The sequence below is a fragment of the Homo sapiens genome, chromosome 7 (genome assembly GCF_000001405.40).
Source record: "Homo sapiens chromosome 7, GRCh38.p14 Primary Assembly".
Taxonomy (NCBI): Eukaryota; Metazoa; Chordata; class Mammalia; order Primates; family Hominidae; genus Homo; species Homo sapiens.
Window position 1 is genome coordinate 16,854,681 of NC_000007.14, and position 27,519 is coordinate 16,882,199.

A 27,519-nucleotide genomic window follows, 5' to 3' on the forward strand; every position below is an offset into this window, starting at 1 on the left:
TGGCTTAAACAGTCAATTTATTGTCTCACAGATCTGGAGGGTAGAGATCTGAGATCAAGGTGTTGGCAGGGTTGGTTCCTTCCGAGGGCTGTGAAGGAGAATCTTTTCCGTGCCTGTCATCCAGTGTGTTTGCTGACAACCTTGAGCATTCCTTGGCTTCTGCTGCACGATCACACTCTGCTTCCTGCTCACATGGCATTCCTTCTGTATGCATGTCTCTGTATCCAAATTTCTTCTTTATATAAGGAACCCAGTCATATTGGGTTAGGGGCCCATTCTACTCCAGTATGACCTCATCTAATAACATTTTCCTTTAGAAAATTTAATTGACACATAATAATCATACATGTCTATGGGGTACATAATGTTATGACACATATAATGTATAGTGATTAGATCAGGGTAATTCACATATCGATCATCCCAAACATTTATCATTCCTTGTATTGGGAACGTTCAATATCTTCTAGCTATTTGAAACTGTATATTGTTGGTTACTATAGTCATCCTACAGTACTATAGGACACTAAAACTTATTCCCATTTTTAATGACCTTATTTCCAAATAGGAAATACCTCCATTCTGAGATACTGAGGGATAGGACTTCAACCTATAATTTTTTTTTGTGAAAGGGACACAATTCAACCTGTTACTGTATCCTATCCTGGAAAGTAACTATGATATACTTCTAGAAGTTTCAGTAATCACTAAACTTCTAGAATTCATTCCAGAAAAGTGAATTCATTCCAGAAAAGATGTTCAGAAACTGAATCACTGCTAATACCAGGGGAGCCAAGTGTTTAATGGCCTCCTATTGTGGGTGCTCTCCACAATTCTGTCGCCCTCCTAACACTCACACAACTTATTTTGTCAGATTGTGTGTGGGCATGGGTGTGTGAAAGAGAAGGGGGCTGGGGACAGGGACTTTCTGCTCCCAAGGACTTTCCATTTAGCGAAAAAGGCAGATGTTGCGCAAAAAACAAATTTTAAAAGAAGAAAAGAATGCTTATCTTTCTTTACTCAGTAAGGAGGTTCATGAATATACATATTGCATATAATTGCTTTTTAAGAAGTACTACTTGTAAACTCAAGTAATCTATATGTGTGTATGAAATCAATGGGTTTAAAAAGTACGCTTCCCTGAGGCTTGGCCTACTCTTATTAACTCTAATCTAAAAGTCTGAAAGATCCTACCAAGAAAACTTTGTATACTTATGTATTGTAAGATTATACCAATGAACAATAATTTCTTCATCCCCTATAATATACCTGATTTTCTATTTTATCATGTTGTTTTCCATGATGGTAAAATACATTCTCCTTTCATTCAGGATTCATGGGTACTGCATCTTGTGTAAAGCCTGATGGTTCTACTAGAAGGTTGAGCTGTTTCTCTACTGATTTCACATTATTTTATTAGGTTATTTAGTAAGGAGTTATTTCCCACCAGTGATATATCGTACCACTAGACTGTGAATTTCTTTTATCCAGTCTATCTTTGGATCCACAATATCAAAGTTAGTATCTGGCAGAGTGAAAATTAATCATTGAATAATTGGGAAAGATTAAATGCTAGAAAATAATTTAGGTTTTATTTTGATCTCAGAAATTGAGAGCTTGATCTGAATAGAAATGTTGCTATTTTAGGAAAACAAATGGGAAGGAGGACAAGGAAGAGGTGAAGGATCTAGTGCAGTAATTCTAAACTAGTATTGACAATATTAGCAAATAAAAATACAGGTCACCCAGTTTACTTTAAAATATCACATAAATAACCAATACATTTTAGTGTGTTTCAAATATTAAACAGGATATGCTTATATTTTGAAAATGTTGTTTATCCCTTATTTAAATTTAACTGGATGTCCTGTACTTTATGTGGCAACGCTGGACTTTATCTAATTAATCCCTTTTGAATGTACAACTTTTTTGACTGTTATCTCTTTGAAATGCAAATGAAAACTCTGAAAGCCTGCATTAAAATGCTTTGCACATAGAATTGTGCATACTATTTCAGGTAGTTGATGTTGGTAACTTTTTTAAAATGTTGGCTGTGTTAGGGAAGGAATAATTTCTTAGAGGTTATAAGGGTAAAAACAAATGGAAGTAAAATTATACACATACACACACACATACACACACACACACCTATATGTATACACACACACACACACACACATTCACTAAGCATAGTCCTACATTTCCAAAGTAGGGGTAACCTAAGAAGGAATGGAATCCAAACAATTAATTTTATGAGAAGATGTGCGGTAGAAATATCAACTACAATATAGAAAGGTTTTTTTTTTTTTTTTAAACACGTTGTGGTCTCACTATGTTGCCCAAGCCAGAGTACAGTGGCTATTCATAGACTTGATCATAGCTCATTGCAGCCACAAACCCTTGGGCTAAAGTAATCCTCCTGCCTCAGCTTCCCCAGTAGCACATGCCACTGCACCCAGCGAGGATTATAGAGTTTGTTAAAGTGGGTAGAGAAGGAAAACTAAATTGGTTACAAGATTACAGTGACTAAAACTGATTATGGAATATTTATATGTAAAATATGTGCATATTAAATGTTGGCATACATATAATTATATGCATAATAAAATTATATGTATAACAACATAGAAATATATGCATATTAAAATATAAAGGTATATACATTTTCATTACAAAGAACAATTTATCATTTAGTAACATTTTTATGCTAACTGAAGAAAGATAAGTGAATGTTCAATGTTATTTATTAATTCTTAAAAAAACTAAATTGTCAGCTGATCTCTTTTATAGTCCACTGCAAATAACTGCTAACATGTTGTTCCTCTGAACTATTTATGCAACCATGGAATCAGCTATATTTCTTTAGTCTTCATATGTTAAACTATTAAATCAGAGAATGCCAGTGCATTCTGATCTCTTAGCATTCATTAAAATAAAAGCTCTAGACTTTTATCTAAAAAATCAAAATAGGCTGTAATATAAAAATTAAAATAGGATATTTAATATTCTTTTGTAAATAAATAGGATACATGGGTCTCTAGTACTGATAATCATGTAACCTATTTATATCCAAATAGATCAATTTACTACAAGCTTGCTTAAAATTAACAGAATAGTGATCAAATAAGACCCAAAGGAAACCTTTTTTTCTCTGACTCATCAAATGTTGAAATTACAGGTGTCTATATCATAGACATTGCATATCTATCTCATATAAAAGTATAGTTTTATATCACAAAGCAATTCAAATTTTGCTAAATGCAATAAAATCCTATGAGTTAGGAAAATTTTTGCCCATCTAAAACATTTTCTTTTTTTTTTTTTGAGATGGAGTTTCACTCTTGTTGCCCAGGCTGGAGTGCAATGGAACGATCTTGGCTCACTGAAACCTCCACCTCCCAGGTTCAAGTGATTCTCCTGCCTCAGCCTCCTGAGTAGCTGGGATTACAGGTGCTCACCACCATGCCTGGCTAATTTTCGTATTTTTAATAGAGATGGGGTTTCACCATGTTGACCAGGGGCTAGTTAGTCTCGAACTCCTGACCTCAGGTGATCCTCCCATCTCAGCCTCCCAAAGTGCTGGGATTACAGGTATGAGCCACCGCACCCAGCCTCTAAAATATTTTCTACCTTCTGATAATTACTCCCAGCTGATTTTAGGATTTCTATTAGCAGGATTTTTTCTTCTTGTTGCTGTTATTTAAATAAATAGAAGACATGGTATTAACTCTCTGGAGGCTTCCTGTAAAGAACTGAGTTGATGATTGGATATTTGATCATTTCAGAATAAATATAATCCTTTCCTACCAGTTAATTGGAGAAATTCTTCATTTTTCCTGAAGTAGTTACACTTTTCTTAAAATTATTAAAAGTTTTAAAGTATCTACCCAATAATTAAGAAGAACATGTAGCTGGATGCAGTGGCTCGGGCCTGTAATCCCAACACTTTGGGAGGCTGAGGTGGTAGATCACCTGAGGTCAGGAGTTCGAGACCAGCCTGGCCAACATGGTGAAACCCTGTCTCTATTAAAAATACAAAAATTAGCCAGGTGTGGTGGTACACACCTGTAATCCCAGCTACTTGGGAGGCTGAGGCAGGAGAATCGCTTGAACGGGTAGCAGCGGGGACGTGGAGGTTGCAGTGAGCCAAGAGTGCGCCACTGCACTCCAGCCTGGGCAACAGAGCAAAACTTTGTCTCAAATAAATAAATAAATGTAGTTGAATTTTTAAAATATAATTAGGTTTTAAATGTCTAAGTGTAAAGTAAGAAAAGAAGTAAGTGGTTAGTGCTGAAATATGTAGCTAAAAGTTAAAGTCACAAGTGGACAGAGATTTATCCACTTGTTTTGGTAACATGGAGATCATTTATGACCTGGGTTAGCAGGTATGGTACAGGGGAGGAGACAGAATTAAAATTAGATTAGTTGGTGGTTAGACCAGGAACAGTGGCTCAGGCCTATAATCTCAGCACTCTGGCAGGCCAAGGTTGGAGGATTGCTTGAGCCCAGGAGTTTGAGACCAGCCTGGGCAACATAGTGAGACTGCATCTCAAAAAAAAAAATTTAGAAAATTAAAAATAAAATTAGATTAGTTGATGGAGTGAAGGAGAGGTGAAGAAATAGAGACAAACTGTATAGGCACCTCTTATTTAGGTCTTCTTGTCTCCACTATAACTCTTGGCAGGCTTTCTTTGCTACTGATGAGGCAGAAATAAAACTATATTGTCAGTCTCAGATTTAAAAAACATTTATTTTAATAAGACTATTGCAAACACATTAAAAAAACTAAATAGTAATATTACAAAATCTATATACTTGCACATTTAGTATTTGTCAATGTGCCAGAGGTTTTCTTCATGAAATTTGACTTCTTTGAAGTGAAGGCTTTTTTCCATCATCTCTTATAGCTCTGACTGAATAAGTCTTAATGCTTTCTTCATGTTTTCTATCACTGAAATAAGAGTTAATATATATTATGCTATTAATAAATGAAAGTACAAATGCTATGATCTATTAACTCTAGAACCTGAAATTGGCCCATTTAAATTAATAGCTTTGAACATGGGAATTCGTCTATGACATTAAAGAATATGCTAAAAGTGTACATGTAAATTTAGGGATTAGACCATTGAGAGCTGGTTGGTCAACTTTATGTTGAACAATTTCATCAGAGGGGTTTTGAGGAGTACCTCTTTTTTTTTAATGCATCACTTTGTATTAGTATTGCTAGATCTTACAGGCACAGTTGTCTTATTAAATATAGTTGATAATGAATGTTGTAAAAAATAGATTTGGCCAGGCATGGTAGGTCATGCTTGTAATCCCAGCATTTTGGGAGGCTGAGGTGGGAGGATCACTTGAGGCCAGGAGTTTGAGACCAGCCTGGGCAACATACCAAGACCCTGTCTCTACAAAAAAGAAAAAAAAAGGATTAAAGTCCTAGGTAAGACTGTACCTCCTTGCTTATAGGCATTAAAGAAAGATGAAATGATTTTACTATCATTTGATGAAATCACATGAGATCTTTGATACTAGGAGAATGGACTGTCTCAAGTTTGTGTCATTTTAATGTGTACTATATTCTTTTTAGTGAGCTCAGAATTTAGTAATCCTAAAATCCCTTAGACATCCCTGTTAAAATAGATTCTGAGGTACCCCCAAAATTCTGATTTTGGTGGGAGCTAGAAGTTGGCATTTAAACACCACCACTAGCCTCAGTGACTGGTGTGTAGAAGCACTGATGTAGGGCTTCACTAGCCCTTAACAAATAGTCAGGGGTCAGCTATGACCACTGTTTGAGATCATTTGTGAATACTTACATAGGGGTAAATCCCGAGGCTCATATGTGTACAATCTGTTAGAGTATCTTCCAGCTATGTCAGCTCTAACTGTTAAAGAAGGGTCTGTCAAGGAAAAAACCAAGTCACGAAAGTATAATTTAGCATGTTCTTTTCTTTACTCTTGTAAAAACTTAATTATTATTTTATATGTGGGGGTTATGTGTACAAGTTTGTTACACAGATATATTGTGTGATGCTGAAGTTTGGGCTTCAGCTGAACCCAACACCCTAATAGTGAACATAGTAGCCAACAGTTAGTTTTTCATCCTTTGGCTCCCTCCCTCCTTCCCCCGTTTTGGAGTTCCTATTGTCTATTTTTCCTCTCTTTATGTCCATGTGTAACCAGTGTTTAGCTCATATTTATATGTGTGAACATTCACTATTTGGTTTTCTGTTTCTGTGTTCATTTGCTTAGGATAATGGCCTCTGGCTACATCCATAAAACGTTCTTAAAATCATTTTTGTTTCTTAATCTAAAACAAATGTCAAACCAATTTATAATCTAAAACAAATGTCAAACCAATTTATAAGCAAAATTAGTTTTCATACATGTCAGTTCATGAATTAACCTGAATTCTCCTTTTAGTGTGTCATAGGTCTCTGTCAATCTAGTCTGGGGCACTGTGTTGAAAGTACATTGGGATATAGATTTAATAGCATACATGCTTTGAAAAAATATTTAAAATTTTCAAATTACAGATATAGTGGATTTTGATTGTAGAACTAACAAGAGCTGATATTATTGGATTAGAAATGACTTCTCTTTAAAAAGAATAGTACTTGAACTAGCATTTAAAAATAAAAGCAAGAATGCTGATTTCTACTAATTTTGTAGATCTGATGAAATGAGATCACATACATACCTACAAACATGATTCTAGGCACATATTGCCCATCAGGTGATAAATTCTTATCAGTGGTTTCATGCTAGCAGGAGAAGAAAAAAAAAGAATGTTATTGGATTCATTTGTTTTTGATAGTTTCAAGATGATTTTGTGTGACTGTCAGTAAATTCTATTTTGGCCTTTTATAATTCCATACAACTTTCTGTATTAACCAATATTTAGCTCTTTGTGCTTTAAAAATAGAAAAAAAGGAGGCTGGGCATGGTGGCTCATGCCTGTAATCCCAGCACTTTGGGAGGCTGAGGCGGGTGGATCACCTGAGGTCAGGAGTTTGAGACCAGCCTAACCAACAAGGTGAAACCCTGTCTCTACTAAAAATACAAAAATTAGCTGGGCATGGTGGCAGGTGCCTGTAGTCCCAGCTACTTGGGAGGCTGAGACAGGAGAACTGCTTGAACCAGGGAGGCTGAGGTTGCTGTGAGCCCAGATTACGCCACTGCACTCCAGCCTGGGTGACAGAGCGAGACTCTGTCTAAAAAAAAAAAAAAAAAAGAAAAAAACGGATTCAAAATTTCCATGAAATTATAGTATTAAGAAAACATCACAAAGTTTATGTACCATAAGGTTTAGCATGATGAACTTATTCTGAGCCATTTCTTGTATTTCTTCATTTTGGGCAAATACTTTCTTTAGTGCTATAGGGGAAAACAAAATTGCCAGTTAGTTTTAAGGATCAAGAGACCTTTAATGTAACATAGCAAAATAAAGCTAATATTTAGCATTTGTTTGCATATATAACTCAGGTGTAAATATTAATAGTTCATTGGCCTATTGCCACTTTGTCCCTCATTGGAAAGCAATGAGGGACAGTCTGTTCAAGGAGACATCAAAGGATAATCACAGTGAAGACACTAGTTTTTATAATTTTATGTAACTCATTGACTCATTGGTTAAGACAACGACTTTTTTTCAGTGTTTCTACACCTTCTCAGCTCACCCCTTTCTTTTCATGGGAAGAAGAGGAATATGTAATTCCCAAGGGAATATAATAGAAATATTCAGTAGATTGGTAACAATCATTGTGGTCTTTAAGCACCTTAGTAAAATGATGGTACTCTGGCAGTTGTCTATTTTTTTTAATGGGATTTGCTGAGCGCCTTCTTAGCTATTATTACCAGGTCACTTTTCCTATTTTATATTGGAAATATTATATATTATAATAAGATATCAGGGGCTAAAATTACCTTGAGAGTATTGACAATCCTCCAGGTGATGAATAACCATTAATGGCTTCTTACTAAACAAAGAAAGTATGGAATTAAGTCAAATGATTAACTTTGGGTCAAAATATACAGTAGAGTTAGATTTAAAATTTTATTAGCTTCAATAAGGCTTACAGTAGTAATCTCAGATTTACAAATCATAGCACTATAGTCAATAGCAGTGTTACTCTATTTGTGGCCTCAGAACTGATAGTATCAGTATCACTAGGTAGCTTATTAGGAATTTAAATTCAAAGGCTCCGTTCCCAAATCAGGAAAGCCTCCATTCCAAAATTAGCTGGGCACAGTGGTGTGAGCCTGTAGTCCCAGCTGCTCTGGAGGCTGAGACATGAGAATCGCTTGAACCCAGGAGGTGAGGTTGCGGTGAGCCGAGATGGCGCCACTGCACTCCAGCCTGGGTGACAGAGCGAGACTCTGTCTCAAACAGACAAACAAACAAAAAACCAAAGGCTTCATCCCAGACCCACTCAATCAGAATCTCTGGGGTTAGGGGTGGTTTCAGGAATCTGTAGCTTAACAAACTTATTAGGTAATTCTTATGTACTCTATAGTGCAGTTAGAGAAAATCAATTCTGTATCCAGAGATAAAGGGTTATTATGAACAATGTATTCATTTCCAATGAACACTTAGTATAAGATTTCAGGAAAGTCAAAGACTTTTACATTTAGTTTTTTAAAAAGTTTTTACAAAAAAGCTGTTAATATTTGGCTATTTTCACATCCTTTCATTCTTGCACGTTGCAGAATATACAAACAACCTGAGTGGGAGTTCCCTATTTCATACATTTTTGGGGGGTCATTTTGATTTTAACCATAAAAAGTTAAAAAGATAAAAATTCTTCCTCCTACTGCTAACTTCTATAACTATGCTGTATTACTTTTTCTTATATTTTCTCCCAGAGGTTTTCAGGTCATATAACTGAAAATCTATATGAATATGTTTATATATTGTATATACCCAGATGCATGTTCACATTTATGTGTATGTATTTCTTTTTAAAAAACAAAAATACTAGCACACAAGTATCTACATTTTGCTTTTAAAATATAAATCTTAGATATGCCACTGTTCTTTTATATTATATTCTATTATATTAATATTTTATCTTATTAGTCTCCCCAAAGATGGATATTTAAATTGTTTCCAATCTCTTGTGTTTAGATTGTTCCTAAACATTTACATTTGTACACTTATTTGCTAAACATGCTTTTTTTTTAAGGCACGCAGTTTCTTTACACCCATAATTGCATCCTAAACTCTTGTATAGTTCATATTTACAGCCCCCCATAAAGTTTTTGCATTCTGAATTAGTCCTTCACATTTTGATATTTGGCATAATGTTCAAACACACTTTATACACACTGACCTCTCCTTAAACCACTCATAGATTTAATAAATCCTACAGAAAAACATTCAGAGATTACTTGAAAGCTTGATCTTCTATTTACTTCAAGGTGACAGAAGAGTTAGTTTTTCGTGATGAAAGACTACAGGAACGGAGAATTAACAAACTGTTGTGTAATTCATCAGAGAAGTATATTAACTCTGCTGAAGTACCACTGAATGAAACAAAAATGAATCTGTGAAGTAGCAATCTGATTAGCAGGCTGGCTTCTATGTCCCATCACTCTCATAGTCTTCTATTATTATATTTTCTTCCACGTCTCCTTGGGCTGAAAAGAGCTGAGGCTGGCTGGCAGGCAGTTCACTGGCACTATTCTGACTCAGAGGAAGAGACCAGGTTTCCAGCTCTGTGTCCTGTGCGGGTTCACCCAGAGATTCCTCTGCAGAATGTCCTCCGTTAAGCTGGGCTTCATCTCCACTGTCAGGGTCGATCATTCCATGTTCCCTGTCAGTCAGGGCTTCCATTTTCAGTCTTCCGAAGTGTTGCTTCAGAGGGAGCCTTCCAATATCTTGGATAAGAGAAATCTGAGCTTGATTTCTCATTGGAATGGTTATTAGAGCAAGGTATGGCAGTAGCTGAGTTTGGAGGCATAAAGCTGGTAGGCAGAAGTCAGGAAAAAGTGCTTTTGCTGCCAGGCAATTTTCCCCATACTTTTTATGTATTAGAAACCACTGCGGTGTGTGCGAGGGTCAAAAACTTGATCCTTCTCCTTGGCAATGAGCATATCCTCCGGCTTTGTTGGAATGTATCACACCTCTTGTAGCTATAGATGTCCTATATTTCCTGAGTAAAGAGCGTGTATTCCAGTCACCACTGAGGATACCTGCAAAACTTAGAAATTCACTGGCTCTCACAATATCATCAATTTCCATGAAGAAGTCTATGTAGTTTTGGTGAAGATATAAATTAAATAAGTCTCCTGGCATGTGTGACATTTCTACTACCTCCTCAGGTTCAACAAGTATGTATCCTGTTCATATTCTGATAAATGAGAGGGCAACCAAGATGAGTCTGATTCTGTTAAAGATGCTCTTTTACTGTATAAAATTTTCCCCAAAGCTCGGAAGAGAAACAGAGAAACGTCTTTGCCACCAGTAGCTTGGACCTCTTGACTTTCAAAAACCCTATCAGTTTTTTTTCTTTGTTTTGATTTTGACAGCGTAGCATTTGATTTTAAAGACATTCTTTTTTTCCTTGGCCATAAGTTGTTTTCTCCTTTTGAAGAAGAAATCTGGAGGCTGTTTATTGCACTTCTCATATCACCAGAACATCCTTGACAGAGCACCTCTAGAGAAGTTTTGTCAGGGACAGTAATTTTTCCTCCATTCTTGTTAGCCTCTATAGTCACTATTCGATTAAGAAATTTCATCGTAATTGTTGGTGCCACAGGGTTGAAACTAATATTTGAGGTAGAATGCTCTTCCCGAATTTCTTTGGGGAACAAGAAACTTTGATTATTTTTACCACTGAGACTGTCACAGATTATAAATATAAAAGGATATCGACCAATCTTCACATACTTCCTTAGAACTTCATGTAAAGTATGAGAATCCCTATAAACTGGTTAGGTAAATCTTCAACCAGAATTATCTTCTTATCAGTTCTCAGATGATCTCCAAGCATTTGTAACTTGTTATACTTTGTTGCTCTTAGTAGAAACTCTTTGCAAACTGCTATCTGAGACTGATAGGGAAACATATGGAAGCTTGATTCAGTATGAAACATTTCCTTGAAATCATCTTTTTGGAAATCTGGTAAAACTGGATTAATCCACTCTTGTACTTGAATACCATTCTCCTTTGATAGCGTTTTTTTGGTCGTTGTCTTTCCACATCCAGGAGGACCTGTTATTAATAAAATAGATCCATCCTGTTTTGGTTGCCTTTCTAAGACTTGAGCTTTTTACCAGGTTTCAACTTCTTCAATTATCTTTTCATGCACAGCCAAGTTCATGCTAACTTTCTGGTTTATATTTATCTACCCATGGTTCATTTTCAGACAGATAGTCTTTTGAATTTTCTAAACCATATATCTGTTCTAAGGAAGACAGATTTCCTATTTTTCTAGCTGGAAATATCTTACTTTCTAATGTAGAAGGCTCATTTTTTTCTCTATGACTTGAGTTATTCACACCTAATGATGTGGCAGTAATAGTAGAGATGTCTCTATACTCTAGAAAATCATTGAATGATGGGTCAATCCAGTCTGTTACCTTTGTGGAAGATATCTTTGGTCTAAGAAAAGTTTTTGACATTATAAACTGTAATAGTTCCCATCCATAGTATAGGACCTGTAGTACATTAAACTATAATTCACCTCCTTTAAAAAGCAGGTAACTGTCCCTGAAGATGCCAGGTTCCTGAAATGAGAGACCATGCTGTTGTTTTAAAAAATGATTTTGCACATAGGTGGGTATGTTTGTGAATACATTTCCAGAAGTAGAATTTCTGAGTCAGAGTGTGTGCATTTATAATTCTGATATATACTCTCCATAGAAGCTGTACCAATTCATATTCTCTCTGGTAGTGTGAGCAGTAATTGTTTTTGCTATTCTCACTAAAGCTGGTTATTAGTTTAAATTTTTTTTATCCAACAGGTGAAAAGAGGGAAACGAATGTGGTTTGTCTTTCTTATAAAAAATAGTCAATCTTATATGTTTGAGTTACTTATTTTTCTGTTCTGTGAACTTCCATATTCTTTGCTCATTTTTTTCTGTTGACTTGTTGACCTTTTTCTTGTTAATATATAGGAGTACGTTGTATATTAGAGAAAGTCACCCTTCTAATATGTGCTGCAGTTTTCCATTTAAAAGAATATTTTTCCTTTGTAAGTTTTTGGTTATCCAGAAAATTCCGTGTAATTGAAAATATTAGTAATTTCTTTTTAGACTTTTTCTTTTATCTTCTCCTTTTCTTTGTTTGGCTATGCTCAAGCCTAGCAGACAGCACTAGCATGAGGCCAGGGGAGCATCTACAGGACTAAAATTAGAGGCTTTATTTTTGTACCCCAGGTATCTTTCTTGCCTCACTATAATCTTGGCTCTCCCCTATTCCAAGCATTTAAAGAAATAAAATTTTGCAGTGGTATCTTCTAGCACCTTAATGATTTAATTTTCATAATTATATCTTTCTAATTTATTTTTGCATAAATGTGAGATATGGATACAAATTTATTTGTTTTTCCCAGATGACTATCAACTTCTGACACTAATTATTACATAATCTGTCTCCCCTATTCCTGATTTAAAATACCACTTCCTGTATTAAAAAATTCCTGTAGTATCTATCTATCTATGGAGTTTGTCAACTACCTATCAATAATCTATTTATTTATTTGACAAGTAAAAGTTGTATATATTTATGGTGTACAGTATGCTGTTTTGATATATGGATATGTTGTACAGTGGCTAAATCAAGCTATTTAACATATTCATCATCTCACATACTTATTTTTTGTGGTGAGAATATTTAAAATTTACTGTCAGCAATTTTCATGTATAAAATATATTGTTATTAACTATTATTCCCACAATGTACAACAGATCTCTTCAATTTATTTCACTTAACTGAAATGTGTGTCCTTTGAGCAAGAACTCCCCATCCTCACCCCCAGACTTTAGTAACCACCATTTTCCTTTGTTTCTATGAGTTTGACTTTTTTAGATTACACATGTGAGATTACGTGACATTTGTCTTTCTGTATCTGGCTTGTTTCACTCACCATAATGTTCTCCAGGTTCTTCTATGTTGTTGCAAATGACAGTGAACATGGGAGTGCAGATATCTCTTAGACATACCGATTTTATCTTTTTGATACATGCCCAGCAGGGAATTGCTGGATCATATGGTAGTTCTATTTTTAATTTTTTTGAGTAATCTCTATACATTATGCTTTCCATAATGGCTGTACTAATTTACATTCCCACCAACAGTGTAAAAGGGTTCTCTTTTCTCCACATTCTTGCCAACACTTGCTATTATTCATCTTTTTGATAATAGCCTTTCTAAAAGGAGTGAGGTGGTATTTCATTGTGGTATTAATTTGCATTTCCCTGATGATTAGTGATGTTAAGTATTGTTTTCATCTACCTGTTGGCCCTTTGTATGTCTTTTTTTTTTGAGATGGAGTTTCGCTCTTGTTGCCCAGGCTGGAGTGCAATGGTGCGATCTCGGCTCACCACAACCTCCGCCTCCCAGGTTCAAGTGATTGTCCTGCCTCAGACTCCCGAGTAGCTGGGATTAAAGGCATGCACCACTATGCCTGGCTAATTTTGTATTTTTAGTAGAGATGGGGTTTCTCCATGTTGGTCAGGCTAGTCTCGAACTCCCGACCTCAAGTGATCTGCCCACCTTGGCCTCCCAAAGTGCTGGGATTACAGGTATGAGCCACGGCGCCCAGCCTGTATGTCTTCTTTTAAGAAATGTCTATTTAGGTCTTTTGTCCATTTTTAAAACACAAATTCCATTTTTGTTTTGTTATTGAGTTTCTTGCATATTTGCTTCTTTTCAGATGTATGGCTTTCATATATTGTCTTCTATTCTGTTGGTTATTTCTTCACTCTGTTATTGTCTCCTTTGCTGTACAGAAGCTTTTTAGTTTGATGTAATCTCACTTGCCTATTTTTGCTTTTGTTTCTCATGTTTTTGAGGTCATATGAAAAAAAATCATTGCCCAGACTAATGTCTGGGTATATAGAATGATTTTTAAATACCGCTTTAATTTTAAGTGGATTGTGAGCATCAAAGGAGATAGGCTCTTTGGATAGCTATTCAGGATTTCCTTCATTTCAATGGCTGAATAGTATTTTATTGTGTACATATACCATATTTTATCAATTCATCTGTTGATGGTCAGAAAAGATAGTTGATATAATTTAAGTCTTCTTAAATTTGTTAGACTTGTTTCATGTGTCATGTGATCTGTTCTAAAAAATAATTCCTACGCTATGAGAACGTATCTTCTCTTGCTGTTTGATTAAATGCTCTGTATATGTTTGTTAGGTCCATTTGGTCTAAAGTGTAGTTCAAGTCCAATGTTTCCTTATTGACTTTTTGGATGATCTATTCATTGTTGAAAGTGGGGTGTTGAAGTCCCTTACTATTATTGTGTTGTAATCTATTCCTCTTTTCAGATCTATTAACATCTGCTTTATGTATTTAGGTACTGTGATGTTGGATGAACATATATTTATAATTGTTATACCTTCTTGGTAAATTAATCTCTGTGTTATTATATAATGACCTTCTTTGTTTCTGTTTACATTTTTTGATTTAAAGTCTGTTTTATCTAAGTATAGCTACTTTGTTTTGTTTTGTTTTGTTTCCATTTATATAGTATATATTTTTTGATCCTTTCAATTGCAGTTAATAAACATCCTTCAAGGTGAAGTGAGGCCTGGCATGGTGGCTCATGCCTGTAATCCCAGCACTTTGGGAGGCCAAGGTAGGAGGATTGCTTGAGCTTAGGAGTTTGAGACTAGTCTGGGCAACATGATGAAACCCTGTCTCTACCAAAAGTACAAAAATTGGCCCATGTGGTGGCACACATTTGTAGTCCTAGCCACTTGAAAGGCTGAGGCAGGAGGATCGCTTGAGCCTATAGTTGGGGCTTGTGAGTTTGTTTTTTTTTTTTTTTTTTTTTGCAGGGGGCAGGGGGAACCTGTTTTTTAATCCATTGAGTCACTCTATGTCTTTTGATTGGAGGTCCAAATCCATTTACATTCAAAGTTTTATTTCTATACTTTTATTATATTTTATTTATTTACAAGTAATATACTGTTTATTATTGCTTTGTAAAATGTTTAATAATGATTAAGGCCTAATCCCTATTGCTCTCTTTTCAGAATGTTCCTAACTATCCTAACTACTCATGTCTATTATTTTTTCATTTCAACTTTAGAATTATCTTTTTAAAAAATCTTATCACAATTTATTGTGATCATCTTAAAAAGTTTTTTAAGTATAGAGAGAATTGGCATTTTTATGATGTTAAGTCTTTCTATCCAAGAATATAATATGCACTGCCATTGGTTTGGAAATTTCTTTTTTCTTTTCAGTGTATTTAGGTTCTTATAGATTTTGCATATCTTCTGTCAAGTTTATTCTGGGGTATTTTCTTTTTTGTCATTGTAAATGAGGTATTTAACAAGTTTTTTTGGATGTGTTTTTCTATATATAAATGCAGTCAATTTTTAAATATCAATTTATTCTCATCTAATTCAACAGAATTTTTGTTATTCTGAATATTTAAATTTTTTTAGTTTTTCACGTATATAAATTATCATTTGCACATAAAGATAATTTTAACTTTTCCTTTCTACATTTTCTACTTTTTCCTTCTATAATTGTGTTAGTACTTCAGAAAAATGTTAGTAATTGTTGTGGTTGTAGATATACTTGTCTTATCCACACTTTAATGGGACACTTCTATTTGTTTTCCCAGTAAGCATAATGTTGGTTTTTTGTTGTTGTTGCTACTGTTGGAATGCTGTTGTTGGGATTAATTTAAAGAAATTAATATTGTCAAATACAAAGTCTTAAAAATTCAAATATAGATGTTTTATTCTATAATGCATTTTCAGAATTGGTGGAGATTAGACATACTTGTATGAATTGTCTCCTTATAAATATTAAATTATTTTAATTAGTACATTTCTTAATCCTAAACCACTCTGGCATTCCCAGGCTAAATCTCAATTTGTCAGGGTATATTTTTAAATGTTCTGCTGGTGCTCCTTACTAATATGTTGTTTGTTTGTTACACCGATATTTGGAAGTGAGATTCTTCTGTAGACTTCTTTCTTTTCTAATGCTTGTCCAATATTGAAACAATAGTTAATTTGGAATCTTAATTTATCTTTAAAGAGTATTGCAATAGAATGTTCTTTAGATATTTCATTCATTCTTGGGGAGCTTTTAATAATATGTTTCTCAGCTTCATTCCCAAAGACTTAGTAGGTCTTTAAGAATAAAAATGGTATACTTGGTTATTGAGCCTAGAACAGTGTCTGGTACATAGCAGTGGACATTCAAGGAATACTTGACTGATTAATTATAAATTTGGATTTTTAAAAAAGCTACTCAAATTGCTCTAATATTCAAACAGGCAGGCCTTAGAACTGCTGCCCTAAACCAGTTTTCTGTCTAAGCTTGTATACTGCCTAATAAATAATACTGCTTTGTTTATACAACATACTCAAAAGCTTGATTGAGTAATGAAGACATTAATACAGAGGTATTTAGAGCTTTTGTTTATAAAATGTATTCTAATAGCAACTATTAGTCCCTTTGGCATACAATAGCAGAGCAAATACTTGTGGCATCCTTTTGAAAACTAAAATGCTTTTTTTTGATTCATCAATGAGGTATCTATATGATCTGTTAAAATTAACGGAGAGTGGAGGATACAAAATCAACATGCAAAACCAGTAGCATTTCTATACAACAATAACAAACTAGCTGAAAAAAAGAAACAAGAAAGCAATGCTATTTACAATAACCACAAAAAGGCCAGGCGTGGTGGCTAACGCCTGTAATCCCAGCACTTTGGGAGGTTGAGGTGGACGTATCACCTGAGATCAAGAGTTCGAGACCAGCCTGGCCAACATGGTGAAACCCTGTTTCTACTAATAATAAAAAATTAGCTGGGCATGGTGGCATGTGCCTATAATCCCAGCTACTCAGGAGGCTGAGGCAGGTGAATCACTGGAACCTGGGAGGCAGAGGTTGCAGCGAGCTGAGATCGCGCCACTGTACTCCAGCCTGGTGACAGAGCAAGACTCCATCTCAAAAAAACAACAAGCAAACAAAAACCACACACACACACCTAGGAATATATTAACCAAGGAGGTGAAAGATCCCTACAAGAAAAACTATAAAACATTGATGAAAGAAATTGAAGAGAACACCAAAAAATGGAAAGACATCCCATGCCATGGATTGGAAGAATGAATTTTGCTAAAATGACCATACCACCAAAGGCAATCTACAGATTCAATGCAATCTCTATCAAAATACCAATGATATTTTTCACAGAAACAGAAAGAAAAAAATCTTCAAATTTGTATAGAACCACAACAGACTCCAAATAGTTCAAAGCAATACTGAGTGAAAAGAACAAAACTGCAGGCATCATACTACTTGACTTCAAAATATACTGCAAAGCTATAGTAAACAAAACAGCATGGTATTTGTATAAAAACAGAAACCTAGACCAATGGAATAGAATAGAGAACCCAGAAATAAATCCACGTATTTAAAGTCAGCTGATTTTTAACAAAGGTGGCAAGAACATGCATTGGGGAAAGGACACCCTCTTCAATAAATGGTGCTGGAAAACCTGGATATCCATATGTAGAAGAATGAAACTAGACTCCTAACTCTTACCATATGCAGAAATCAATTCAAAATGGACTAAAGACTTGAATGTAAGACCCCAAACTATAACACTCCTAGAAGAAAATATAAGGGAAGCCCTTCGGACATTGTTCCCTGCAAAAAAATGTATGGGTAAGATTTCAAAAGCACAGGCAACAAAAACAAAAATAGACAAATGGGACTATGTCACCTGAGAAGCATCTGAACAGCAAAGGAAACAAAAGCATAAGGGGACAAACTGTAGAATAGGAGAAATTATTTGCAAACTATTCATTCGACATGGGCCTATATCTAGAATATACAAGGAACTCAAACAACTCAACAACAAAAAACCCCAAATGATTTGATTTTAAAATGGGCAAAAGATCTGAATAGACATTTCTCAAAAGAAGACACACAAATGGCCAAGGATATGAAGAAATTCTCAACATCTCTAATCATCGGGGAAAGGCAGATCAAAACCACAATGAGATATTATCCCACCACAGTTAGAACTGATATTATCAAAAAGACAAAAAATAACAAATGCTGGTGAGGATGCAGAGAAGAGGGAATTCTTATACACTGTTGGTAGGAATGTAAATTAGTACAGCCATTATGCAAACATATAGAGGATTCTCAGAAAACTAAAAATATAACTACCATATGATCCAGCTTTCCTACTACTGAGTATTTATTTAAAAAATCAGTATATCAAAGAGATATTTGCATCTCCATATTTATGGAATCACTATTCACAATAGCCAAGATATAGAATCAACCTAAATGTCCATCAATGGATGGATGGATAAAGAGAACATGTTATATATTCACAGTGGACTACTACCCAGACATAAAAATAATGAAATGCTCTCATTCACAGCAGCATGAATGAGCCTGGAGGATGTGTTAAGTGAAATAAGTCAGATATAGAAAGATAAATACCACAAATTCTGACTCATATAGAGTAGCTTAAAAAAAAGTTGTACTAATAGAAGTAGAGAGTAGAACTCTGGTTATTAGAAGCTGGGGAGGGTTCAGAGCTGGAAGGATAAGGAGAGGTTGATTAATAGATGCAAAAATATAGCTAGATAGGAGGAATAAGTTTGAGTAGTATTCTACAGCACTATAGGGTACATACAGTTAACAATAGTTTATTGTATATATTTAAAAAGCTAGTAGAGAGGATTTTGAGTGTTCCCACCAGAAAGAAATGATATGTTTCAGGTGATGCATATGCTAATTACACTGATTTGATCACTACACATTGTGTACATGTATCAGCATATCACTCTATATTCCATAAATATGTACAATTATTATGAGTCTACTACAAATAAAAGGAAAAAAATGAGCTGAGAAGCATGTTACCTTTTTTGAGCATAAAAGAGACCTTCTTCATAAGTTTGTACCCAAGTGATGTCATCTCCCCATCCTGAAATAGAAGAGAGAAATCAATGCAGTAACCCAGAACTAGAGAAGAGCTCGGAAATGGGTATCTAATAATCAGATATCTACCTACAGATATTTAACTAAGCCATCAAGCTGTTGGCTGACATATGGTGCAGAGGACACACAATTTTCACAAGATATGGAGGTGATTTCCCTTTAGATTGCAGTACTGAGGTTTTGCTACTGCATTTCAAACCTCGAGGCCCATGGCCTTGAACCCAGTAAGTACTCAATACATGTTGTTATGATTAGAGCTGATTGAAAGGACATCTTTGGATAATGTAAAAGCTGTGGCTTTAGGAACGCTTGGAAAGTAACAGTTCATCTTTGCATACTTTGTAATATTATTAGGAATCCTTTCGGCTGTACTCTACAATGCCCTCCTATTTTGGGTCCCAAGAGATGTTGACCTCTTCTAAGTCAGTATACGTTGTGAAATAAGGGAATTCCAAGTTTTGCTTTGAATTCTGACATGGAAAAAATTCTTGTGTGGGAATTTCATGGCCAAGAGACATAATAAAACGCATGTGTTTTGGAAACACCCAAAAGAATGGAGAGAAAAAACAGAAAGCAATGAATATAGAGAGAACCCATTAGCCTTAAAGAAATGGTATGAATAGTTGGGAATGTGTATAAGCAATTAAAGATAAAATCATCAAGTAGAAGAATGTGCAGAACCTCCAAAAACATTACTGAGTATTTTCAGGAAGTGTCTCAGTCTACGAATGAGAGAGATTGAATTAATGTGAAAATTAGCAATATTTGGAAGTCAGTTTGGGCCCAGGTTTTCTTGTACATTTCAAATGTTGTCAGACCACAGTTTCTGGCTTTAATATCATGGTAAATATGATAGTAATTTGATAAATATGATTCCATGATTTTTGCTTGTTTTTCATGTTTGTTTTCTGGCGACAGCTTTATTGAAATAAAATTCATACGCCAATACAACTCACCTATTGAAAACGTATACTTTTGGCCAGGCATGGTGGCTCATGACTGTAATCCTAGCACTTTGTGAGACCAAGGTGGGTGGATCATTTGAGGTCAGGAGTTCAAGACTAGCCTGGTCAATACAGTGTAATCTGTCTCTACTAAAAATGCAAAAATTAGCTGGGTGTGGTGGCATGTGCCTGTAGTCCCAGCTACTCGGGAGGCTGAGGCAGGAGAATCGCTTGAACCTGGGGGTGGATGTTGCAGTGAGCCAAGATTGCGCCACTGCTCTCCAGCCTGGGTAACAGAGCGAGACTCCATCTCAAAAAAAAAAAAAAAAAGAAAAAAAGAAAATGTGTGCTTTTTTCAGTATATCCACGAAGTTGTGCAACCATCATCACATCAATTTTAGAACATTTTCATCTCCTCAAAAAGAAACCCTATACCATTTAGCTATCACCTGCTCCCCATTTTCTTCAAATGCCACAGCCCTAAGAAACCCCTAATCTACTTTCTGTCTCTATAGATTTGCTTATGCTGGACATTTCATATAAATGGAATCATACAATATGTAGGCTTTTGTGACTAGATTTTTTCACTCAGCATAACCTTTTTAAGGTTCATCCTTATAGTGCCATGTATTATTATTTAATTCATTTTTTATGGTCAAATATTATTCCATTGTATGAATATACCATATTTTATTTATCTGTTCATCAGTTAATGATATTTGGGTTGTTTCCACTTTTTGTCTTTTATGAATAATGATGCTATGAACATACATATACAAGTTTTTCAGTGGTATATATTTTCATTTATCTTGGGTATATACCTAGGAGTGGAACTGCTGATCAAATGGTCACTCTGTATTTAGCTTTTTGAGGAGCTGCCGGGTTATTTTCTAAAGTAGATGCATCATTTTATATACTCACCAGCAACATTTTTGTTTTTTGTTTTTTTTTGCCTGATTTAAAATCTTAACATTGAAAAACATCTCTTGTTAGTTTAATGCCACATCTTAACAGGAACTCTTGCTCTCTGTAATAATCCTGAAAGATTCTCTTTCCAACTTTGGTTGAACACATGCAATATCTATACATCACATTTTGCATTAAGTAAAAGTTATTCTAAAACAGCAAGTGAGACGAGGCCTCTGCTGAATTTTCCCTCTTCTGTTGCAAATATCATTCAATGATGGAGCATTAGCAGTGGGGAAAATTTCTATTCTCTGCTCCTGCTCAATTTAGTTCCACAAACAGTAAAGGAACATCTGCTGCATAACTTACTCCACAAAGCAGTGGGAATACAAACATAGAGCAATATAATCCCTATTCTCAACAAATTGTCCATAGCTCTGTAGAAAAGCCATATTGCATTATAATGATTTTTTATTTACTCTGTTATAATCACAATAGGTCAAAGCTGTTACACAGTTTAAATGCACTTCATGGCTTCTGCTCATTACTCTAATTCTAGCCCTATCTCTATCTCTGGCTATATTTTCTTGTCTTTTGAGATTTTATTCATTTATCTAACATATATTTATTAAATATTTACTATCCGCCAATCACTGGACTAGGTACTCAGCAATTCTGATTCAAAGGAAATTGGATTTTTTTTGGATCATTCTATGTGTGTGTATTTTTTTCTCCCTGAACCTTCTTCTACCTTTTTCTAATTAATCTTCCTTTTCTCCTTACTGCCTTCTCTACTTAACTAGTGCTGCCCTGTGCTCTAAGGGGCTCCATATGCCACTCTTTATACTGTATCCAGACTTCTCCCACTCACCCCTACCTTTAATCTTCATTCATTCTGAGCCTCATTCTCTCCATTATCTCCCATGTAGCAATAGATGGTAAAAGACTTTGCCAAATATAAACCAATTCTCAATAATGGTGTTCTCAGCTAATATCAGTCATCTTCTGTGTTAAATTAGTTTCTTATCAATTGAAATAATAGAACCTTTAAGTTGTTTAAAATAGGGCATACAAATGTAATATATTTTTTCAAAACATTCAACAAGAGTTTTAAATAAATATTTAGAAGTGAGCACACAGAATGTTGATGCCTTGACGTATAGTTATCACAGTGCTGCTTAATGCAGACATGGAAAATCTTTAAGGGCAATAACTAGTTTAGTCTTTGTCACTTTAGGGCTACTGAGCTCATTGTTTTACAACAGTTATGCTTATACAGAGAGATAGAGTTATGTTTAGGAAAATATTTCAACTTTTTCATTCCTTTCTTTTGCAAAAATATGTTGACTTTCTGTATATATAGATTGTGTGTTTGTTAAACTGAAGTAGAGTTAATTAGCTTAGGTAAACATTGATGAGCACTTGGCTGGCACTCAATACATCTGTTAAGAAATGAATGTACTTGGGAAGCAAGTCAGTGTTTTAGAATTTGAAATTATATAATATATATTTATAATTATAGCATATATTTATATATAATTTATTATAATATAACACAAATGTATACTATGATATATATTATATATAATATATAGTATATATAATATATAATTTGTATGTTATAATTATATATATTTTATATATATATCAGAGGTAGGAACAGAATTATTTGTTCCCACTTGGTTATTCAAAACTAGCAGTATTACTCCAAGGCACTTGACTACTATTTGCAGTGGTAATATGAATGGAGCAAACAAATGGTCAAGTACTTTGTGGTAATACTGCTGATTTTGAATAGCTATATGGGGACAAATAATTCTGTTCCTACTTCTGTTACTTAGAGATATAGAAACTAACTTTGAGAATATTTTCTTGGCCGGGCGCGGTGGCTCACGCCTGTAATCCCAGCACTTTGGGAGGCCGAGGCGGGCGGATCACAAGGTCAGGAGATCGAGACCATCCTGGCTAACACGGTGAAACCCCGTCTCTACTAAAACTACAAAAAATTAGCCGGGCATGGTGGCGGGCGCCTGTAGTCCCAGCTACTTGGGAGGCTGAGGCAGGAGAATGGCGTGAACCCGGGAGGCAGAGCTTGCAGTGAGCCAAGATCGTGCCACTACACTCCAGCCTGGGTGACAGAGCAAGACTCCGTCTCAAAAAAAAAAAAAAAGAGAGAATTTTTTTTAATAAAATGTTTCTTTACAGATGAATATATATTTGTTTCTTGGGCCAAGTAAAACAGTAAGTACAAAAAGAAATGTTTCTAAACATGTAGCCACCGGCAATCCTTGATTATGTCTAAAACCACTGTCTTCCAGAGTCAATATAGCAAAGACTTAGTTACCCCGAATTCTCAGAGTTTGGGGTATAGTATAATTTTCTGGGAAGGCTTATATAAAATTATTCCAATTTTTTTTTTTTTGGAGGACTGGGAAATAGAGGACTGGGAATTTGAGCAAATTTTGAGGAATCTTAAATTGCTATTAGGACACCAATATGACGCAGCAATCAATCATTATTTTCTAGGACTCTGGTTACCAAAGTTATAGACAGCGAGCCAATTCTCCATTATTTTGGCAAAAGATAATGCAAATTTATGTTATTGTTTGCTAGTTGATTTGATTCACTGCCTAAAATAAACTGATTCCTTCTGTTTTAAAAAATCCATTTTGAAGTCACACACAACAAAAATCATTCAGTTAGTTGAATTTGCTTTATAATTAGACTATGAGTGAAGACACCAGATATTTTAAAAAGCAATCCAAATGACTGAGTTTAGAAAATAAAATGAGATTACAGCACCTCTTGAGAGTGTCTGAGGAGGCCTCTTTTCCTTTTTTATTGCAATGGCAAGGTTGGAAGAAACTGTGACGAGTAAGAGGCAGAGACCCAAAGCTGAGTGTAGCATCATGTCTTCTAGAGACTCTCTCAGAAGAAGCTAGATGACAGAAAGGAATTCTCAGAATCCAGTGAATTACTTCAAGCTATTATTAGAAGATATTTGCTAAGAGTTGGACCAATACTGTGATGACAGACTGTTCAGCTTTTTTGGTTTGACATGGTATAACCAACCACATAGAACTTTCATTCACATTTTATTTTTAAAATACTTAATCAACTCAGTACATGCTCAGTTGGTGAGAAGTCATGTTCTGAGCCTCCTGGGCATGGTGCTGTATAATTAAAAAAGAGCTGGATCAGGGCACACGAAGCCTGCTTCTGAACCGCCCTGTAGTGTTCACACCAACAAGACGAAACTCAAATAAGATCATGTTGTTTGATGTCTTGTAAACTATGAAGTGACTTTTAGCATGCAGAAATATTCTTTGCCTTTTGATTCTCCTTCATCTAATAGGTCAAAATATTTTAACTCTATACTAAGATAAGATTATACATGAATAAATATTGCTTAAAATAGAAATCAGAGGAAAAATAGAATATGGAGGATTCTTGTCCTTCAGTTCCTTTATAGTTTCTTACCTTTCTCATCCTTCCAACAATTACTCAGACTTTTGCCCTTCAGTTTATGATACAGCTCTTTATAAAAATCAAGTACTATCATATTACTATAAATTAGACATATGTATAGAGAAGAATAGACTGTCATGATTACATTCTCTCCTGGTTAGCTAGAATTCAAACTGATTCTTAACTCAATGTGCATCTTTTATACTTTGCACGTTAAGATAAAAACTGAAGTCCAAAGTTGGGCCTGATCTGGTCATAAACCACTTGATAAATATATTACAGGAAGTCTTTAATACTTGTGAGATGTTTAGTTACAGCATTAGCATATAAAACTGATTTGAAAATGGTTGACTCATGCAGTTTTGAAACTTTACCTCAAAATATAAAATAAATATACAGACATCATTCACATTGATTTGAAGTTCCTTTAAGACGTCTTTCCTATTGGCTTACATTATTTAGTATTGAACTCATCACCAAAATAGTAAAATTTCCTTAGCCAAAATGGCTAGTGACTGATTCTTTAGTGATTCTGTTCAAACAAAGATGTTGCTATATTTTATTGTAGTAGGCATTGTGGAAAATGAAAAGATATATAAGACACAATGTTTTGGCATTGGTAAAACATTTGGCAATTTTAATCACCTAGTTATTGTAAAGTAGCAACCGCAGTCGTGGAGGAGAACAACAATTTGGTGGTAAAGAAGTTTACAGATTCTAGATTTCTCCAGACATTTCCTCATTCCTCCCATTATACTGTTTTCCCCTTCCCAGTGGTGTATCTATTGCAGCCCCTCTATGGACTGAAAATAGTTACCACTCCAGGTTAACCTTACTTTATTTCCCTCCCTAATCCCCAGTTGTCCCTCCCTCCTTCCCTTCCCCTTCCTTCCTTCCCCTTCCTTCTTTCCCCTTCCTTCCTTCCTTCCTTCTTTCCTTCCTTCCTTCCTTCCTCTTTCTCTCTCTCTTTCTTTCTTTTCTTTCTCTCTCCTTTCTTTCTTTTTTTTTTTTTTTTGCTCTTGTCACCCAGGCTGGAGTGCAGTGGGGCCATCTCCACTCACTGCAACCTCCGCCTCCCAGGTTCAAGCGATTCTCCTGCCTCAGCTTCCCAAGTACGTGGGACTACAGGTGTCCACCATCATGCCCGGCTAATTTTTGTATTTTTAGTAGAGATGGGGTTTCACCATGTTGGCCAGGCTGATCTCAAACTCCTGACCTCAAATGATCCAACTGCTTCGGCCTCCCAAAGTGCTGGGATTACAAGGGTGAGCTACATCGCCCGGACTCCTTTCCTCTCCCCTCCTTTCCCCTCCTTTCCCCTCCTTTCCCCTCCTCTTTCCCCTCCTCTCCCCTCCCCTCCCCTCCCCTCCTCTCCCCTCCTTTCCCCTCCTTTCCCCTCCTCTCCCCTCCTTTCCCCTCCTTTCCTGTCCTTTCTTTCCAGGCATATAAAAACCCTGTTAAACAATTATCACGGTGCCTGATAAGAATTTCAGTTTAAGTTCTCATAACTTATTAAACCATAAAACATTTCAGAATGTCATCTTGTACCTTAAGGCCTTGGTCATCTTGTACTTTAAAGACTGAAACAAATACAGGGTGGATTTTAGTACAGGACAGGGACAGTTGACTCTGGAACACAAAGCTCAACCCAGGGAAGGCAGCCTTAGTTAGACAGGTTGGGAGTTGCAGTGGAGGAACTAAAGCAACCACCTAGGACAGGATCTTAACCTGGATCCAGCAGGCTTCTAGAAGGCCTGTGGCTGAGCTACAGAAGGCTCAAAACCCCTGGAAATTGTGTGCAAAATTTTATCTGCCTCTGTTCCTTTTCCGTGGGAATAGGGTCCAAAACGTCATTAAAATTCTTCCAGGGATCTTGGATATAAAGAAGAGTTAAGAAAAGTCAATCTGGAAGGAATCTTTAGAAAGATTTTTCTATGTTAGCTACAGAGACAAGCAGGTGGAATCTGCATTTTAAAAAAGAAAAAGCATAACCTCATCATTTTTGCTATTTTAAAGCTGCGAAGCTTAGAGTTAAGCGGGAACCATTTTTTCTTTAAAATTTCAAGTCTTTATGTATTATTGTCAAATACTTTCTAATTAAAAAATAAAAATCTTGGTTTTCTGGTTTTACATTGATAAATTATAAAATAGATATTAAATATATTCTGTGACAAAGCAGTACAACTTGTACACTGTAGATTTTGAATAAATAACGCTTTCCTTGGTAAAATATAGTGTAAACTGCTGAGGGTCCTTTAGTATCAGTTGCAAGGTTAAGCTACTTGGGGGAACACAGATAAATGTGGCATGGTTACAGGCCTACAGCAGCTTAAAATGCATTTGGGAGGCACATAACCATATGTCAGCAATTAGATTGTATAAACATTGGTCAATTAGCATTTTATGACATTAGTATTTTATTTTTCAAAAGTAATTTAACGTAAGTAACTGATATTATAAGTTCCTATATTTTAAAATAAAACAAGACTTAAAAGAATATAAAGAAGAGCTATCATTACTTGTAGAATACTTTTCAAAGAGTCGTTTTTGTGGTTGACGTCAATTTATTCTAATACCATTAATATAAATAGAGATAAAACTATGAAACCAGCAAAGGAAATCCAGTTCAGTAAAAGAAGAAAAATAAAAATTCATTTCACTTTCCTACCCTTTACTGAAAGCTTCACTTTTAAATAGCAAAAGGTGATTATTTAAATATAGCAAAGCTTGACCACTGATTAAGTAATCTGGAAAATTTGCTTGCTTACCTGACTTGGCCAGTGCTCTTGTTGGAAATGTATTCTGGATGTTTCTGGTTAAAAATGGGTGTGGATTTATAGACACACACACACACACCTGACCTACAACCTCACCTGCATAGAAACAAGAGCATAGTTACCGGAAAACAAACTTAGAAAAATAGGCTGGTCTGAAAAACTCTGTACTTCTTTCCAGTTCTCATGCTTCTCACACTAAAAAAGCTCTATTCTTTTTCTCTAAATTAAGATTGAATGTCCTCATAAA

At 35.3% G+C, this 27,519-nt stretch overlaps 1 protein-coding gene and 1 pseudogene across 3 annotated transcripts, besides 1 other annotated feature; both read right to left on the bottom strand.

The window, feature by feature from the left end:
• AGR3 (anterior gradient 3, protein disulphide isomerase family member) lies at positions 1-27,303 on the bottom strand. Of its 3 annotated transcripts, XM_047419928.1 has the most exons (9): positions 27,264-27,303; positions 26,044-26,075; positions 23,830-23,965; positions 19,100-19,163; positions 7,930-7,982; positions 7,304-7,380; positions 6,704-6,767; positions 5,820-5,903; positions 4,732-4,951 (listed from the first exon to the last, which is right to left on the bottom strand). In XM_047419928.1, the coding sequence occupies exons 3-9, from the start codon at positions 23,936-23,938 to the stop codon at positions 4,902-4,904; spliced, it is 501 nt and encodes a 166-aa protein (XP_047275884.1). In that variant the 5' UTR covers positions 23,939-23,965; positions 26,044-26,075; positions 27,264-27,303; the 3' UTR covers positions 4,732-4,901. The 3 variants fall into 3 exon arrangements, with proteins under 3 accessions (XP_011513454.1, XP_047275884.1, NP_789783.1); XM_011515152.3 differs by lacking the exons at positions 4,732-4,951; positions 26,044-26,075 and adding an exon at positions 1-235; NM_176813.5 differs by lacking the exon at positions 26,044-26,075.
• Positions 8,231-8,400: a silencer, noted in NCBI's record as "fragment chr7:16902535-16902704 (GRCh37/hg19 assembly coordinates)". NCBI's record gives its function as "represses an EF-1alpha promoter that drives an FKBP-Casp9 reporter gene in an ReSE screen in HepG2 liver carcinoma cells {active_cell/tissue: HepG2}" and the evidence as "EXISTENCE:reporter gene assay evidence [ECO:0000049][PMID:32094911]".
• On the bottom strand, positions 9,185-11,690 carry RAD17P1 (RAD17 pseudogene 1; annotated as a pseudogene).
• Positions 27,304-27,519: the final 216 nt, after the last annotated feature.

Bases quoted from the DNA above. Each gene is read 5' to 3' on its own strand.
- AGR3 (NM_176813.5), bottom strand. From the start codon at position 23,938: ATGATGCTACACTCAGCTTTGGGTCTCTGCCTCTTACTCGTCACAGTT. The intron at 19,164-23,829 runs GTGCTGTAATCT...CTTCTATTTCAG, and splicing joins TCCTCAGACACTCTCAAGAG to GATGGGGAGATGACATCACT. The intron at 4,952-5,819 runs GTAAGTATTCAC...CTCTTATTTCAG, and splicing joins GCCTCGGGATTTACCCCTAT to TGATAGAAAACATGAAGAAA.